The 18,394-nt window shown below is 38.8% G+C and overlaps 1 protein-coding gene across 12 annotated transcripts in view, besides 3 other annotated features; it reads left to right on the top strand.

Annotated features, from left to right (window-relative positions):
- ATP8A1 (ATPase phospholipid transporting 8A1) overlaps window positions 1–18,394 on the top strand; it is a 248,733-nt gene that overhangs the window by 161,283 nt on the left and 69,056 nt on the right. For 11 of the 12 annotated variants that reach the window (NM_001400027.1, NM_001400026.1, XM_047449508.1 and 8 more), the window contains one exon: window positions 10,155–10,327. The exons of the other annotated variant lie outside the window; for it this stretch is intronic. In NM_001400027.1, coding sequence (NP_001386956.1) covers window positions 10,155–10,327 — 173 coding nt within the window. The remainder of the gene's footprint in view (window positions 1–10,154; window positions 10,328–18,394) is intronic. 12 annotated transcript variants of the gene reach the window in all.
- Window positions 2,517–2,811: an enhancer, noted in NCBI's record as "tiled region #3359; HepG2 Activating DNase matched - State 9:DNaseU". NCBI's record gives its function as "activates a minimal TATA promoter and a strong SV40 promoter by Sharpr-MPRA in HepG2 cells {active_cell/tissue: HepG2}" and the evidence as "EXISTENCE:reporter gene assay evidence [ECO:0000049][PMID:27701403]".
- Window positions 6,678–6,727: an enhancer, noted in NCBI's record as "active region_21517". NCBI's record gives its function as "activates an Ori minimal core promoter by ATAC-STARR-seq in GM12878 lymphoblastoid cells {active_cell/tissue: GM12878}" and the evidence as "EXISTENCE:reporter gene assay evidence [ECO:0000049][PMID:35858748]".
- Window positions 7,622–7,671: a silencer, noted in NCBI's record as "silent region_15394". NCBI's record gives its function as "represses an Ori minimal core promoter by ATAC-STARR-seq in GM12878 lymphoblastoid cells {active_cell/tissue: GM12878}" and the evidence as "EXISTENCE:reporter gene assay evidence [ECO:0000049][PMID:35858748]".

Genomic DNA, 18,394 nt, shown 5'->3' with positions numbered 1-18,394 from the left:
GCCGCCTTCCTCTAAGCTGTTTGGAGGACCTCTTTGACCATGTGTTTTTAATGACTTCACCTTCTGTCTGCCTTACCCGTTTTGGAAAAATTACTTTATATTGGTTTGATTCTATACACATATGTTTTTCAACATTATGTTCTAGTACAGGCTACGAGTTTGGAAACACCAAAGCTTTTTGATCAAAAACTACATCAAAAAAAAAAAACCAATAAATACAATTTTTTAAAATAAGTTTTGATTTTATAATGTGTCAGGGGGTTGCAGGGGAACCACGTCAAAGAGAGCTAGTGATCCTGACTGGGATGAATACTAAATGGGCCAGTTGTACATAAATGTAGTTTCTCCCTACTCTCAGGCATACGTTCTTTTACTACCACCTGCAGTAGCTGGAGGAGTATTGATATATGTGTTGCGTAGGAGTATATGGAATGCCCAGTGTTCCACTGAATCAATAACACATTGTAGAAAAGCAAGTAATACCCAATGGTTTATCCATATGTTATTATGGGAGCCATAACTCACTCTTTAAGAACGTGCTAACATTGTCCATACTTGATATGGTCATAATGTATTATTAAGAATGTTTCTAGAATGTTCCGTTAATTCATAATTTTAAAGTGTGAACATTTGGAGAGTGTAAGAGTAGAGACAGAATGAAACATGATTTGACCATAAATTTGTAAATACCTCACGTCTTAAATGATGATGAGGTGGAGCCTCAAACCACCAAAACAGCTAATAAAATATGTGTTAGTTTAAGATTCTTATATATATCCTCTTATTTGACATTTTAAATTAATTTATAGTAGATTTTAAAAGGTAGAGCCTTAGCAAACTAAAGTAAGGTGCTGGTGGTGTTTTTGTTTTTTACTCCCAGTAAACATTTATTTCTCTGCTTTAAAAACAAAACCTAAGAATGAACTCAGTGGTGTTGTGTCTGAAGAACATGTCAGCAAAACAAACCCTGGGTGTCGTCTTTATAATTAATTATTTTAAACCAAATACATACATTGATGTGGTCACCTATGCAGAACTATACAGATAATAAAAGAGAAATGCCACATCAGTTTATAACTTTCCAATTATTTTCAGTTAAGAATTCTATCAGGTTGGAGACAGAAATTAAGAGAGAAAATCAGTGGTTAGTTATATAAATATTTGTCCTCCTACCATGTACCAAGAGCTATATGTCACATGAGACTAGATAATGCCATCTTTCCTAGATTGAGAAGACAGGTTTCCAGAAGTAGCTGATAGTATTGAATGTTGGCAGTCAAAAGGTAAATTGAAATAAAATTGCCATTGGGAGATTTCATAAGAAAACTTAAAATTATCCCAGTCACATGAGATGGAGTCTCACTCTGTCGCCCAGTCTGGAGTGCAGTGGCGTGATCTCGGCTCACTGCAACCTTCACCTCCCAGGTTCAAGCGATTCTCGTGCCTTAGCTTCCCAAGTAGCTGGGATTACAGGCACCTGTCATGTCATATCCAGTTAATTTTTGTATTTTTAGTACAGACAGAGTTTCACCATATTGGCCAGGCTGGTGTCGAACTCCTGACCTCAGGTGATCCACCCGCCTCGGCCTCCCAAAGTGCTGGGATTACAGACATGAGCCACCAAGCCTGACCTCTTTTTTTTTTTTTTTTTTTTTTTTTTGTGGCATGATCTTGGCTCACTGCAACCTCTGCCTCCTGGGTTCAAGAAATTCTCCTGCCTCAGCCTCCTGAGTAGCTGGGATTACAGACATGTGCCACCACACCCGGCTAATTTTTTTGTTTTAGTAGAGAAGGGGTTTCACCATGTTGGCCAGGCTGGTCTCAAACTCCTGACCTCAAGTGATCTGCCTTCCTCGGCCTCCCAAAGTATTGGGATTACAGGTGGGAGCCACCGGACCTGGCGCGTTTCGTGTTAGTACCTTTGTTAGACCTGATACCAGAGGAAGGGCAGAACTAACCTTTCCTGGATGTCACTTCATGCCAGGCACTGGACAGGGCACTTTATTCACAAATAAAGGAGTTAGCACATCTTATCACTATAATCTCTCTACAAAATAGATAGTAACCCAATCTTATGAATGAGAAAAATGTGATTCAGAGAAGTTAAGTCACCTGCCTGAGGAAAGACAGCCAGTACGCGGCAGAGCAAGGATTCGGAGGAAACCTTTCCAATACCACACAGTTGGCCTTCTAGAGTCAGTCAAACCAAAAAAATTACATTAAATCATGAGGAGGTACATTGAAATACATACATAACTCTGGCGAAGAGTTTATGATAGGCCATGAAATGAATTTACCCATAATACTTTTTGATATGTGTGATATAATCCTTTGTAGAACTCTAAGCTCACGTAGCTGCCCAAGATCCAAAAGGGTTTTGGAGTTCTTGCTGTCTTAAGTAAGTGGTTGAAACTATTTATTATTTCCTGTTTAACTTTTATCATTCATTAGGGAATTTTTTTCAAAATAACATTTAATTTTCCCTTTTCCAAGAAGGTGAATAATGTTTGATTAGTTTATCTTTACCATACTGTACATCCACCTGAAGTTGACGAAAACCTGGAGTTCTGAGCCATAGGGTATGTTTCGACCTTTGGAACTTAGTTCTTTACAGTGTGACGTCATTTTATTTTCAAATGTTATCAGTGTCCAGAGCCATTGTATGCACCCTCACGGGCCAGCCTGGACTTTCTCACATCTCACTTTTTTATGACTGCACGTTTGTATGATACAGGCAGACCACTGCTTTCTCTACACTCTGGTAATTCGCATGTGTCTGCTGACCAGCTATGAAGAGTTGTGTCACAGTGGCTCTGCCTCCAGTTACCTCGTTTCAGTAGAGTCACCATCTTTGTTCAGCAAGATTTCTGAAGGTGTTTTAATAACATTCTGTTGCATTTTTTCCTTTCTAAGGAAGGGAAGTAAAAACAGAAACTTGTGTTGCTGATACTGTAGAGGGAAGCACAGGCTTCCTGAACTTATGTTCATTCTGACAAAGGTGAAAGTTGTATATCTTCCAAAAGTGATTTGTTGTTAGTTCCGATCATATGCTTATTTGTTTAACTGGTGGTGAACTCATGAAGAAAAATAACAAATCCAAGAATAACGAAATTGTCTTAGTTCATTCAGGCTAACAAAAGTACCATAGACTGTGGGGCTTAAACACCAAGTCTGTTTCCCACATTTCTGGAGACCAAGGAATTCAAGATCAAGGTGGCAGCAGATTTGGTGTCTCTTGAGAGCCTTCTTCCTGGTTCATAGACAGTGTCTTCTTGTGTCTGTGCATGATGGAAGAAGAAGGGAGCCCTCCAGAAATGCTTTAAGGACCCTAATCCCATTCATGAGGTCTCCACCCTCACGACCTAATCACTTCCAAAGACCCTACCTCTTAACGCCATCAAAATAGGAGTTAGGATTTCAACATATGAATTTTGGTGGGATACAGACCCTCATTCCATAATAGAAATACATTATTAAATGATGTATCTGAAACTCAAAGTATAATGCAGAATTTTGATTTTTTTTTCCTTTCTGGGAATAGAATCCTCCTTGTAACATAAGTTTATCATTTGACCTGCACACATTTAACAGATTCCTAAGAATAAGTATAGATGCTGGATACTTGTTTTTGTTTGGACCTAAATGCCAAAGTATACTTTAGATAAGTATAGACAGGCTTTTTCCTTTTACTTTTTTGTTTGGGGTTAGTCTTACTGATAGACACCCTCTGGGACATATATGAGAGAGCACATGTTATTTACTGAAGCCACAAATAAGTAATTGCAGCCTCAGAGCAAGATCTGGAAGCCACTACCATTAGCTGCTTCATGTCGGACTATTTACCCATAATTTTCACCTCGTCTCTGCTCTGTGAACCCCTGGCTAACGAGTCATGGAGTCAAATTCTAGAGGCTATGCTTTTCCTTTCCTTAGGGATGTTTCCACATTCTCTACTAGGGTGTTGCTTGGATTTGTTCCTGAGTAATACTGTCTTTCCTGTAAACCTCGGCTAGAAAGCTGAAAAGGACCATTTTTATGCAGGTGCTTTCTGCAGCATTACTTTAGGGGCCATCAAAAACACAGTCCTTAGGTGGCCTCACATGTTCTTTGCACATCTGGCCTGTGGGTTCGTTAGCTTGTTCCAAGCAGAGTTTTGCCAAAATGAAAATGACAACTTGCATGCTATGATACTTTCCAAACAAATCAGGGCTTTTAATTTATTTCACTATGAAACTGTGTCAGATTTCATTGTCTAGGGCACCCTCACATCTCACTTTTTTATGACTGCACGTTTATGATATAGGCCTGTTTTTTTATCAAGGGTTTTTATCAAGGGTTTCCTCAATATTAATGAAAAAGATTGCCATAAAGCTGCTAGTCTCTAATTTCTCAAAGATTGCTGTTACATTATTTTATTAGAGTTTATTATATGAACATATTACCTGTTTGGGAAGGTTATATCTTAATGATTCAAAGTGAGGAATTCTACTTGGCCTCATTATCTGCCAAGCATGTTTCTTTATTTTTATTTCCCAAGCATGTTTCTTGTAAACCAAATAAATATTATTTCTCCTTGGCCCACTGTTTTACAACCAAGGTTGATGACTAAGTAGCTGATCTAAATATACATTGTATTACATTCACTAGACAATTTAAAATATTTGAGGCCAAAGTAGATACTAGATCATGACTACCTCTTTTTCATTTTCTCTATGAGATAAGCACATTAGCATTTTCTTTATTCTAAATCAGAGTATTTAAGAGTATACAGGAGTTTTACAGGCAGCAGACAACAATCCTTAAAATGGTCACACAAGAAAACCACTTTAACTTCCTATAAGATATTCTCCAATCATTAATAATTTGGTTATTCTGTTATTACCTTTTCATCAAAGACCTCTGTTCCAAAGGGAATATAGACATATAAATAGATAAGCTACTCAACATCATGCTACCTTGTATAAGTATACTGTAAATGAAGTATTTCAGGGATCCAAAAGATAGAGGTATTGATGTCACCTGGAGGACTCAGGGAAAGTAGGGTCAAGGGAATGTGTCTTGGTTTATTTGTTCATTATTTTTAGAATAAGAAAATTGTGACCTTTTAGGTAGGCTTAAAGGAAAAGGAAATAGTGCCAATGGGGAGAATGAAGATGCAAAGAGAAGTGAAAGAAACAAAAGGTGAGAAGGCAGGTGTTACCCCAGCTCAAGAACTAGAGGGGATTAGGTAAAGGGAAGTTTTGAGGTTAAGGAAGGAAAGTTGAGGGAATTCTTTCTGCTATAAATGTATAAATGTTCTCAGTAAAACAGGCCGATGTTTGCCGAAGTGACAGGGGCCAAATTTGGACTCTTGAGGAGAGAAGAAAAGGTCTGGAGTAGCCTCTGGGAAACATGGAATCCACTAGACATGGATAAAAGACTAGACCAGCAGTGATGAGCAGCCACATAAGAAGAGGGAGCTGGAGTAGATCCTGCCCTCGCAGTGAGGTGGCTTTTTCCTTTCTGTGTTAACGAGACAGAACCTAGAGGTTGTGTTGGGTGTGGCCTAAATGGTGAATTTGCAAGGCAAGAAAGCATAGTAGGAGGTTCAGGCTAAGGGCTTCCAGTGAGCACTGGGCTCTGTCTGTGTGGTGCTGTGGGTATGGGAAGAGCAGAGCAGAATGGTTGTCCAGAATGACCACACAGGCTGCAGGTCAGGGAAGGGGCACGAGAATCTCACTTTCCACTGTGGCTCCCTCCCTTGCCTGGCTGAGTGTTTGAACCCCAGCCTTTCCTCTTACCTGTCCATCTCCCCAGATTGCCTTTACCTTGCAATGTCTCTGATGCTCCTGGACTTTCAGCCCACGAGTGAAAATATGCAGAACAAGGAAATAGAGATCTTTTATTTCATTGAGCCTGTGGTCTTTGATCCTTTTTCTGATTTAGCTTCTCATTGCTATATTTTCACTTTTACAAGTCACTAAGTTTCAATATTTAAAAATTTCCCCCTTCAGTAGCCAAAAAAACAAAACAACAGCTAATATAGTAATAAATTTATCCTTAGCTACAGGAGATAAGCTTCAATGCAATGCAGCCATAAAGTATGGCTCCTGGACTTAGGGGAGAAGCAATAAAGTTTCATAAATAAAAGAATTTGAAAATACTCCCGGCAGTAAATAAGGATAAAATATAACTTGTAACTGGCAGCACACAGCTAACAACAGAGCTTACAAAAGAAAACTATAAACTAAAATGAGAAAATGTTTGCAGCTTTTTTTGTTGTTGTTACCTTGCACCCTAGGTGGGCTGACGAGTGAATTCACTGTGAGAAGTTTTTGACTCACCTTCTGAAATGTTATTTCTATCACATCTCTTGACACCTTCTGATTTGCCAGAGATCTGTGATAGTCACCAACAAAACCTAGGGATACTGATGTCACGAATTTAGAGAATTTTCAATAAATTTTAAGGTGTTAGAGAATGCCTTATAAAGGAGGGAGAGCGGGGACCACAGGACTGCATACCCTATGTTGGTTCATGAGGGCGTTTCACAGTTCTGGGGTTTACTTGACTTTCGGTCTTGTTTTGCAGCTGAGCTTTCAAGAAATTCGAAGTCCTCCTGAGGTCCGTCTCAGGTTTCATTTCAGGTTTTCAGCTCAGAAATCACTTGGGCAATAGCTTAAAAGAAAATACAGAGGCTTTTTAGTGAGCAATGCCTTTGTTTGAAAGTCTGTTAAAGTAATGGATTATTTGTTCCCTGGAAAATTAGGGAGCAAAGAGAAGACCTCTCTCTGTGTGTGTCTCTCTCTTACTCTCTCTCTTTCTCTAATCAGAAGTGATAATAAAGGGGGAAATGGAGCATTGCCAACGGGATGAAATCAGAATTTATCAATGCTCTCATTCAATAAATATGTATTTCATGAGCATCTGTAATTGCAGACACTGCCTTTGTTGCTGGGAAACAGGTTTAACGCGGTCTTTCCTGTCAAGAAACTCAGGGTTTTGCTGCAGTAGAATGAGTTACACTTGGTAGCGTGGACTGAACCTGGGAGGGCTTACAGGGTAAGCTTGGTTTTTGAAGGCAGCAGATGATCCTCTGGAGAGGAGGACATTCCAGGAAGAGGGAAACAAAAGAAACCAAGATTGTGAAGGGCACTGGGAAGGAAAGTTAGGCTCAGAATGTAGGAAGCCTTACATGCCATTTTAAGGAGTTTAGACTTTATTGTGTCAGCTGTAGAAAGCCCTAGAAAATTTTTAAAGCAAGAAGAGACAAGATTTGTGTTTTAAATTTGTTTTATAAAGAGATGTCTCTGTTGGTGGTAAAGACAAGATGAGAGACAGATGATGAGGGCTCAAGGGAAGCAACAGAGGGACTGGTGTGGGCATTCCATTTCTAACTTGCTGCGCCTGGTACTGTCTGAAGTTTGGTTTGTTGTTTTTTTTTTTGCTGGATTGCATAGAAAAAGACAGGCTACCGCAGAAATTTCATTCTCACTTTGATGTCACTACTTAATAGCCACATATTTTTAAGCAAGGAACTGAAACACTCTCATCTGCAGAATGGAGATAACAGTAGTGCCTCCTGCTCAGGATGGTAGCAAGTGTTAACTTAAATGCTGCATCTCTGTGTTGCATCTCAGAACTGTGCTTAGTGTGTAGTATGTGCTAAATATTTTGTATCAGTTCATTGACTTATTTGTTCATTTAATCTATATGAATTTGCTGTTAAGATAATCCAGGGGATATCTATTATAGATTGTCATTAGTAAATTTTGCTTGTGGAATTTATTACCAACATTTTTCACTTCTTTAAGTCCTCTTGGGCCAAAAATTTCCAGCAGGAAACAGGAGGGTGAGGCTTGTAAATTAAAACAGCTACTCTCCCCCCATCCCTGATGTAAAGTGTGAACAGAAAATTTTGCAAAGAATGCTGCTATATGGTGGTCCTTTGTGTCACTGTGTGTAATGGGGAACAGGGCAACTGTTAAGTGAAGCTTCAGCATTAGGAAAGTTGGGCAGTCTTTCTTTATAGTACAACTTGGTTCTATTATTTTGGTAAAAGGATTCTGATATTCCAGAACATAGTGTGAACCGCATTTGCATACAAATGTAAAAACACTTTCAAAAATCCCCAACATAAAATTTTAATTACCTATGCCTTTGCTTCTCTGTGAAATAACTACAAAATGACCATATATATATAAAACGACATGCTTAAATTGGAACAATAATTGTAAATCCCATGAACATAATAAAAATTGTTATATAAGTGTACTGTATTTTTATTGTAGGTATATTTTATTATATAAATATGTATATTTGTATTTATTTTATAAATAACTGTAGGCTTAGCACTCAGAACAGAAATCTGATAGGAGGGGAATTACTCATTATATTTCCTTGTGCCAGGCCAGTGTTGTGTTTCTTCACCACGGTAGGGCTCTTGTGAAATAGGAAATTGGCTCCATTAGGTTATAGGAAGAATCTATAGGATGTGGGGAGAAAAACTAAATGTATTGAAACTTTATCCCTTTGAAGAGCTGGGAAAGCAGTTCTTGACAAAGGGAGACAAATAGTTGAGGTGAACAAAGCTGTCTTGACACTAAAGGCTTTTATTGTCCCTGAAAGTGAACTCTTCATTGATAGAAGGCGTTCTTTTATTTGATCCATCAAGATTACCAAGTCACAGGTCACCATCCCCAACTAAATACAACATCATGAAATCATGATTAAAATTACAAAAGCCAGTTCATAAAAGAGGCAAGAGTTTACAGATTGTGCATTTCCTCCTCTTAGTTACTAGGAGTTAAATTCAATAGCATTGAGGATTTTTGAAAGAATGCCTGTAAATTATTTAAATTACAGTTTGCTTAATGAAATGATACATTCTGAGAAACATGACATTAGGCAATTTTGTCATTGTATGAACATCATAGAGGGTACTTGCACAAACCTAGATGGCATAGCCTATTCCAGACTCAGGCTACACAAGATAGCCTATTGCTCCTAGGCTACAAGCCCTTATAGCCTGTTATTGTACTGAATACTGTAGGCGGTTGTAACACAGTGGTATTTGTATATCTAAACACAGAAAAGGCACAGTAAAAATATGGTCTCACAATCTTATGGGCCCACCATGGGATATTCAGTCTGTTGACCAAAACATAGTTAAGTGATGCATATATTCCCCAACTTCTTCCCTTCATTCATGGAGTAGCAACTTTGACTAGCTCATAAATTAACACGATTTTTAACAAAAGAATTTACTGAAAATATGTTTGCCGTATTGTGATTGCATGGTCGTGTAAAAAGTAAAGTAGAGGTTCCTCTTCAAAGACTTTCCTCCCCGTCTAATTAGGAATAAATAGTAATTTCTCTTAAAAGCAAAATTTATTCAAAGACCTGTGCTAGCCATAATAAAGAAATCAATGTACTTTATGTTCCTAGCTCCCACAATTTAGCCTAAATATTTGCCCCGACATGCTTATACTGGTCCAAGCAAGATTAGGTCATAGCCTGTTCCTCTTCCTTATTTAAAAGTGTTTTTACCTTTCTCAGCATTCCACAAGTTACTTCCGCCTTCCTTTGTTCTCCTTTACCTTTGCCTCTTTTAAAAGGTTCTAAGTTGCTAGCCAATCGGGACAAATACAGAATGTGAGGTCCCATTCCAGCCAATGGAAACCGGACACAGCGGTGGGGTGAACGCGTCAGGTTATAAATGACCCTGTCTCCTTTGTTCAGTGTACTCTCGTGGCAAAACTGCTGGCGAGTGTACCCTTTCTGCAAAAAGTAAAAATGGCCTTACTAAATAAATTAAATTTATGTTCAAGTGCTATTTCTTTACAGCACCGGGGAACAAGCATTTCAAACAATGATGGTTAGAATAATGAGCAAAGACTACAGAATCACCTGAGAAACAGGTGACTTATAGTCTAGTCCCAACCCTGCTAGGAACAGATGTGTGACTTCAATCAAGTAACTAACTTTTTCTGATAACAATTGTGCAGGCTCCTGAGGGGCTAGTAAGAATCAAATGACTGAAAGTATGTGAAAGCAATTTGAAACATAAAAAGCACTAAAAATAACTAAATGTAGTTGCCAAATATCCTTAAGGCATCCTAGTAGAACAAATGGGAGTAAATGTTGATGGCATTTTTGCTTGTTTAATATTCCAGGGAACAAGGGAAACTCTCAGTCGTCACTGTACTACCCTTGGTGATGCTCTCCGGAAAGAGAATGATTTTGCTCTTATAATTGATGGGAAAACCCTCAAATATGCCTTAACCTTTGGAGTACGACAGTATTTCCTGGACTTAGCTTTGTCATGCAAAGCTGTCATTTGCTGTCGGTAAGTTCTCCTTATCATTGTCAGATTTTAGTAAAGAATGACTTGATCTAAGTTCTTGATTTATAAACGTCAATGAAAGTAATCCAGAGTTTACAAAAGTTAGGTTACTTACTAATGTGTTCACTCAAGACTTGAGGTTCACAAACTGGGATGGAATTTGTTAGTTTTAAAAAGTGAGTCCTAACAATCATTAACAAGTATTTTTCCTCATTTGAATCGACAGGTTTCTTGCCATTATCTTTGTTTAAAATTCATTATCTACCTGCATTTCCACCTAGGTCCTTTCTTTAAAGGTCCTGTTGTCTATATTTAAATCTTTGATCCAGCTGCTAAGACTTATTTTGGGGGAATAGCATGATGAAAGATGCAAACTGAATCATTTTCCAAATAGCTGGGCATTTTTCTGAGAGGTATTTATTGACTATACATTCCTTTGCCCTCTAATTTATAAAATTGCCTATATCCTAAATTAAAATCTCTTTTGAGTTATCAAGGCCTAATTCATAGAAAGGCATTTTTGTAAACGACATAGCTCCAGTCCTTCCTGAGTTTCTTGTCAAGGAATCTTCCCCATATTTACGTATAAATTGTTTAAACTCCGTCTTCCTAAGACCTAAAGTAGGTTCATGAATATGATGAATATGCCCAGTCTCCTCTTTTGTGATCACCATGAAAACTAAGGATTTCCCCTTTGTCATTCACTATTGAATCTTAGGAGTTGATCAGTCTAGATCCTGGGTAGCAATTTCTCAAATTGCCTTCTCTTCCTGGGACATAAAATGTTAGCAGAGATTCTGAAAGATTTCTCAGTATCTGTGCTTTTGGTATTATCTTTAAAACTATTCTATGTGCTTTTATCGTTTTCTTTAAAAAGACATTTACTAATAAAGTTATGCTTTTTATACCTCTTTTGTCTGGGTTTATTCACTTAAATATTTTGTATATGGTATTATTTATGAATTATAAGCTATACCTTATAGACATTTCCTAAATTTCAGTTGAGACATACTTTCTGAAATATAATTTAAACTATTCTCAATATCCTTTATAAGCATCATTTTAGCCTATAAAATTATACCATATTCAGAGAATTAAGAGTTGCTTATCTTTCCCAGGAGTCTAATTATTTTAGTCATATAATTTCTTTTTCTTTTCTGTGGTATGTATTAACAAATAATATTACTATAAAGTTCTTGGACAATATATTGTACAGATGTTTAATATTAGTCATCCGGCTCTTTGCTTAATCATAAAGAGACTGGAAATTATTTTGACTCATTTTTACTTTGGTATTCTCATGCTTTTTAAAATTTACTTTTACAGTGATTTTGCTGGATTCCTTGCAAATGTCTTGACTAAGTGTGACTAATGTTCAACTTTGACACTTTTCATCAGAATAATGTGGCAGATTTGGTCACTTAATCACTTTAACTAATGGGATCATAAGGATCAACAAAAGATTGCTCAAAAGCACAAGTGTTATGATTGCTGGCTCCTAGTTGGAAACAACATGAAACAGAATACAGAAGTATTAAGATAAAATGGCCAGTTCCCTAGAGTCATCTGTTATGTGCCTACTTTGTGTGTGCTGGGCGCAGTGCGACACATAAAAGATGAGTAACACTTGATACCTGCTCTCCTTCATGTATCTTTCTTTCTAAGTCAAATCACAGTTTGGTTGGAAAGATGTGGGAGGCCAATTTTCATATTGCAGTGATTGCAGCTGAGCCTCATTCTTAAAGCATTGCTTAACACAGTACCTCCCACCATTCTTCAAAAAGTCGAACCACAAAATTAAACAATAGCAGAGGGAGAGAAAAAACTAGAAAGCAGAGTCAAGGGAGAAAAAATATGTTCTGTGCTTGTGAAATTCCCTCCCGAAATCCTTGTTCTGGATGCTCACAAGTCACATGGACCTCTGGGCTTCTCCAGGCACCAGGTCCCTAGAAGGGAATCACACCCTGCCGTGCACGTGCGGCTCAGCTCTGAAACTGAGCTTATAAAGATGTGTGTGGCCCCTTCCTCCCTCGGTTCTGTTTTATGCATGTTTCAAGACCATGAGGTCCCTACGCAGACACTGAGTTTTATTTCCAGTTTTAAGGTTTTTTTTTTTTTTTTCTTAAGTCACATATCTTTCCTCAGCTTTTTTCTTCTAACTACCTTCATACTCTCTCTTTTCCCATAAGGACTGTGGTTCAGCTTCTGGCATGTTTGAGAATTGGTCTAAGCCCATAATTACATCAGTGCCACTGCCGGATTTATGTCTGTGCACCTTCTTGGCCTGGTGCCTCTTGGCATTTAAACTATTGGCACAGACCATCTTCTTGTCATTTTGCTTACTGACCTCAGAATATAATTTCCATGATAATGCTTCTATCCCTGGATAGGAATAGGTGGGCCATTCTGTGTATCATTCTTTCCAATTAAACCCAAGTGTCACTCCTCGTTTCTCAGATGATTACAATCTCCCGGCCTCAGGAAATTCTCTATTTTACTCCATTAGAAGATAGACGCTCCAGATAAATACTGATTATTATTTCTAAATACAGTTTGGTACTGTTTCCCAAATTCGTTTATGTTCATACTGGCTTTATGGGCTTTTCTCTCAAATTTAAACTATTTTCCAATCTACTGCTTGTCATTCCACACACATGCAGATAATTCAGAATCTGATCTTCCTCTGCAGTCTTCTCTTTAGCCCTAGGTGGAGTGGAAGTAGAGGGGAAAGCCTTCCTATAACAGATAATGAGTCTCCATGTTAGTTCCATCATCAGGATTGCATCAGCCACTTTCTTCCCAGATACTATCAGCATACAGGGCAGAATGAGGCAGATTTTAGTGTTTGCCTCATTGACACAGTTATAAAGATGAGTGTTGTCCCTCCAGAGTCTTCAGCTGAATTGAAAGAAACAGTTGTTCCCAGGCAGCAGACATTATGTCTCTCTCACCACTGTTTTCTGAAGGAAATTTTCAGAGACAGAACTAATCCCCCCACCCCAAATTTATTCAGGGCTCTGGAGTCCTGGTGGTTTTGGTTTCTAAAGTATAGGTTGAATGTTGTGCCTCAAATATTTTTCTTAAGTATATAAAACCCAAGAAGTGGAATGAAACCTGTTTGTATCAGTCTAACAGCACTGTATTTTCTTTTCTTTTTTTTTTTTGTTTGTTTGTTTGTTTGTTTTTTTGTTTTTGGAGACAGAATCTCACTCTGTCACCCAGGGTGGAGAGTGCAGTGGCGCGATCTCAGCTCACTGCAACCCCCACCTCCTGGGTTCAAGCGATTCTTGTGCCTCAGCTCCCGAGTAGCTGGAATTACAGGCATGTACCACCATGCCCAGCTAATTTTTTGTATTTTTAGTAGAGCCTGGCTTTTGCCACGTTGCCCAGGTTGATCTCAAACTCCTGAGTTCAGGCAGTCCACACACTCGGCCTCCCAAAGTGCTGGGATTACAGACATGAGCCACCGCACCTGGCCAACTACTGTTCTTTCATAGATACTGTGCAGCTTCTGTTTTTAACATTGTGAGTATTTACCTGCATAACCTGAATGCATCTAATTTATAGATAGTTTCTGATTCATTTTCCCAGTTATAAACTGCTCCTTTATGGTTCTTCTTCCCCTCTACTCCCTCACACAAGTCCACTGATTCTCATGATTTGGTGTGATCACGGATACTTTTGGAGAATAAATGAAAGTTATAGACCATTCCTTCCAGAAGAAGTACACATGCACACAAACATGTAAAATTTCATGAAGCCCTTCAGGGGTTTTACAGACTCACTGAAACTCCTTGGAGAGGTAGACGTAGGGAAAAAAGCTTGTTCTAAGACTCATGGAGATTTATGGATACAGCTGAAATCAAGCACTATCCCAGGGAGTAACTGTACTAAATAAGTAATTCTTAGTCTCAGGGACCAGTGCTTTATGCCCCCTGGTCCTACAGTCTGTATAATTGGTATAAAAGCATTTTATCTAGAGATTCACAGAATGCTTGTTCTAGCTCTACTGATTTGGCAGTTTGGGTATCTGATGGAATCTCTCTGGCCTTGGTTTTGTGACCTACAAAATGAAGAGATTGGAATATCAGTGATTCCTATCTTCCAGGGAACCCAGATATAGGAAGCAAATAAAAGTGGACCAGCTTCGTCATAGCAGGGTGGGAAATACACACATGCCCCCTTCCTGGGTTATCTTGTCCTGGTTGGAAAGCTGCTGGGCCAGAGGACCTCTCATAGCCCTTTTAGGTTGTGGATGGACCTTCCTTCTGTTGGCCACTCTGCTGGGAACAGTCTTTCTACTGCTGGGATCAGCTTAATTTGGGGAAGCATCTGTTCTACCTCTTTTAATATTCCCTCCAGAAGAGAGTGGGAATGTTGCAGTGAAGTATTACTGTGTGTTAAATAGCATGTGGTTTCTGAGGTCCTCATCAGTTCACATAACCCAGCCTTTCAAAGAATTTTACATTTTTCTGTAGTTGTCAGTTTAGTTTAAACATATTTTGAAACTTATGTTCTGTGACAGTTGGTTGAAAATTGGCTTAGAGCCTCCAGCTTTTAGACTGTCTAGTAATCATCGTTCTACATAATTTATGTACTCATGTCTTCTGAAAAGCAAAAGTTAAATTGAAGTAAGCATTTTTTCCTACTTGCAACATCTCTAATCAAAGTTTAACCCCCTTTTAGGCCATTTTCCTCATAGTGTATAAAAAAACACTTGACTTCAGTGAGTGTTGTCATTTGGGAGTGGCATTCCAGGCAAAACCTTTCACCTTACTCCTATCAAGGGGTCCTGCAAGAAGTCTAAAGGGACACTGAATATTTGCTGTCATAGCATGAGTGCATTAAATAAAGGCACATCTACTTCTTAAATCTTTAGAGATTGTCTTTAGCTTTAAGAATTTCTCTAAATATATGTTCTACTTAAAAAGTAGTCATAAAGCACAAATGAAGCTAATAAATGCTCAACAGACATTCCTTTAAGGAAAAAAATTTGTGAACACCATTGGATGCCAAGCAGATGTTTGGCTTTGAAAAGACTTTTACAAACTGTTAATGAATGTCAACCCTATATTTGCTTCCAAGAAAATATGAATAAATGTTGGAAATGTTGAGAGAATATTTCTTTCATACGTGTACAGCTAAAAGAGGACACACTGAATACACTTTATAACTTCATAAAATGCCAATAGTTTGCTTTAACATAATAATCATCTGCTCAGCCCTGTCCATCTCCTTTGCTATTCCACCTTGACTGAGTAGTATTAAAGGAACTGCAATGGCTATATTACAGCCTATTAGCCAATTATGATGACCACCACCAGGTAAGTCTATATTTGACAATAAAATGTCTAAAAATATATAAGAAATCTAAATGCTACAGAAGCCTACTGTAATTCAACATTTTACAGTTTTAGGTGTGACTCCTTTTAGGTAAACCATCATCACCATTGCCACCATCACCAGTACACACACACACACACACACACACACACACACACAAGCAGAACTGCAGATTACATAATTCTAATGAGGTAGGTAACACGTAATGGAGAGTACATAAAGTATAAATGCACCCGCTTGGGATTTTCGCAAAGTGCACACACTCCTGTGACAAGCACCCAAGCAGGACCAGCCCCCAAGAAGCCCCTCATGCTCCCTTTAGTTGAGGAGCCTCCCAAAGATAACTGCTACCTTGATTTCCATCACCATCCCTCTTATTCATTTTACTGTTTTGTTTCATACTAACTTTGAATAAACATATATACCTTCCACAACCACATCCAAATTCTTGATGACTCTTTTCTGTTCCACAAATTTTAAATGCAGTGCTCTGTAGCTTTCTACTGAAGGCCTCCCCAAAGCTTTACAAAATCAGTCATCAGTACATCAGCACTCTCCTCTGTTCTTCAGTGAAATACAAATCTGCCTAATGGATTGCTTACGGTTCTCTGACAGTTCTGATTTGCTAAGAACATGATGTGTGGAACCTATGGCATTTCTCTGACCTGTCAGCCTACTGACCTCATTGTGTGGGAAAGGGAAGCAGAGTTAGCTTTGTGTAACTGGTTCTCCCTGAACCCATGATGGTTTCCAGTGATTACTTCCTTTTCAGTAAACGGATCTGAGCCATTTTGACTTAGGACAAGTTAAAGAAGGGCTTGGTGTTTTGAGCAAGGTGGGGCATATATTTTCTGTGCAGGGACAGATAGTAAGTATCTGTAGGCTTTGCAGGCCATGCAGCTTTCTCCCTTACAGCTACTCAACTCTGCAGTTGTAGCATGAAAGCAGCTCTAGATGATTTGTGAATGAATGGGTGTGGCCATGTTCCAATAAGACTATAAGTAACAAAAACCACTGCTGCTTAAATTTAGCCCTGGGGCCATAATAAAGTGTCTGTAGCTCATGAATGAACATGGAAGGAGGTAGTTAAAACAGAACTTTCCTGCAATACTGATGGAATTCATGCTAAGCTCTCCTAGTCTCTCCAAGGAGAGTAATTTCTAGACTGTTCCTTTCTTTTCTCAAAAATTGAAACATTTCCTCATCTCTCCTCACTGGCTTTCTCCACAATTCCTTGAAAAAATGGACATTCTTTTTATGGTGCCAGCTGCACAATCTGGTGGCTCCATTAAACTTATCCATGCCATCAGAACCAAGAAAATCCCTAAAAATAAGGACATGAATTTGTTTTACAATGAGGTGTCAATACATACTTACACATAGCAGCAGGACAGAAAGGAAGAACCCAGGGCCATAAATATCTGACCCTGCTCGGTCACTGCGGTGCCTTCCCTCTGTTCTAGGAAAACCCCCAGCAAGGTGCTAGAGGACATGCTAGCAAAAGAATGAGGAAGATTTGCAAGCTAGCCATCTCCCTAGAGTCTTGAACTAAAGCAAGTGGCTCTTTGATTTTTTTATGTGGTTTTTTTTTTGTGTGTGTATTCCCCTTATCCCCAGTCCCATTCTATTTCACCTTAGAAAAAATATTCTCAAGTGTTTCATATGTTCCCATCCATTTGCTGTACTTTAGTTGTATATATGTGATTCTGTGAAAAATATCTATCATATGTGTATTGAATTGAAGAAAAGCTTTGTGTTTATAATGACACTCCAGTAAATAATTTTTTTTGAGATGGAGTCTCTGTCACCCAGGCTGGACTGCAGTGGTGCAGTCTTGGCTCACTGCAACCTCTACGTACGCCATCCCCCAGCCCCAGACTCAAGTGATCCTCCTACCTCAGCCTCCCAAGTAGCTGGGACCACAGATGCGTGCCACCACACCCAGCTAAGTTTTTGTATTTTCAGTAGAGATGGGGTTTTATCATGTTGCCCAGGCTGGTCTCAAACTCCTGAGCTCAAGGGATCCACCTGCCTCAGTCTCCCAAAGGGCTGGGATTACAGGCATGAGCCGCCCGCCAAAAAAATTTTTTACCTTTATTTTTCTACATGTTTTTGAGACATATCCATGTCACTATATGTAGAACGAATTTATTTTTTGTTTGTTTTTGTTTTTGAGAAGGTAGAGTCTTGCTCTGTTGCCCAGGCTGGAGTGCAGCCTGATCTTAGCTCACCGAAGCTTCGACCTCCAAGGCTCAAGCTGTCCTCTCACATCAGCCTCCTGAGTAGCTGGGATAACAGGCCTGCGCCACTACTCCCAGCTAATTTTTAAACTTTTTTTTTTTTTTTTTTAGAGACAGGGTCTGCCTTTGTTGCCCAGGCTGTTCTCAAACTCCTGGGCTCAAGTGATCCTCCCACCTAGACCTCCCAAAGTGCAGTGATTACAGGCGTGAGCCACTGCGCCTAGCCAAGTTTGTTTATTCTTATCACTGCTTGTTATTACACTAATGCATATACATCATTTTATTTATCTCTTCTCATAGGGATACCACAGAGGTTTCCTCCAAATCTTTGCTACAATGAAAAGTACTGCAATCTATATCCTCTGTATGCCCCCAGGCAAGAGTTTTTCTAGGAGAAAACTCTTACATGGGGAGAGAGAGAAAGAGAGGGGGATGGGTATGGGATTGCTTGGCTGTGGCGTATATGTATAATTCTTTCCCATCAGAA

This window comes from Homo sapiens, chromosome 4, assembly GCF_000001405.40.
Source record: "Homo sapiens chromosome 4, GRCh38.p14 Primary Assembly".
NCBI classification, from domain to species: Eukaryota; Metazoa; Chordata; class Mammalia; order Primates; family Hominidae; genus Homo; species Homo sapiens.
This window is presented reverse-complemented; position numbering and strand designations above follow the sequence as displayed.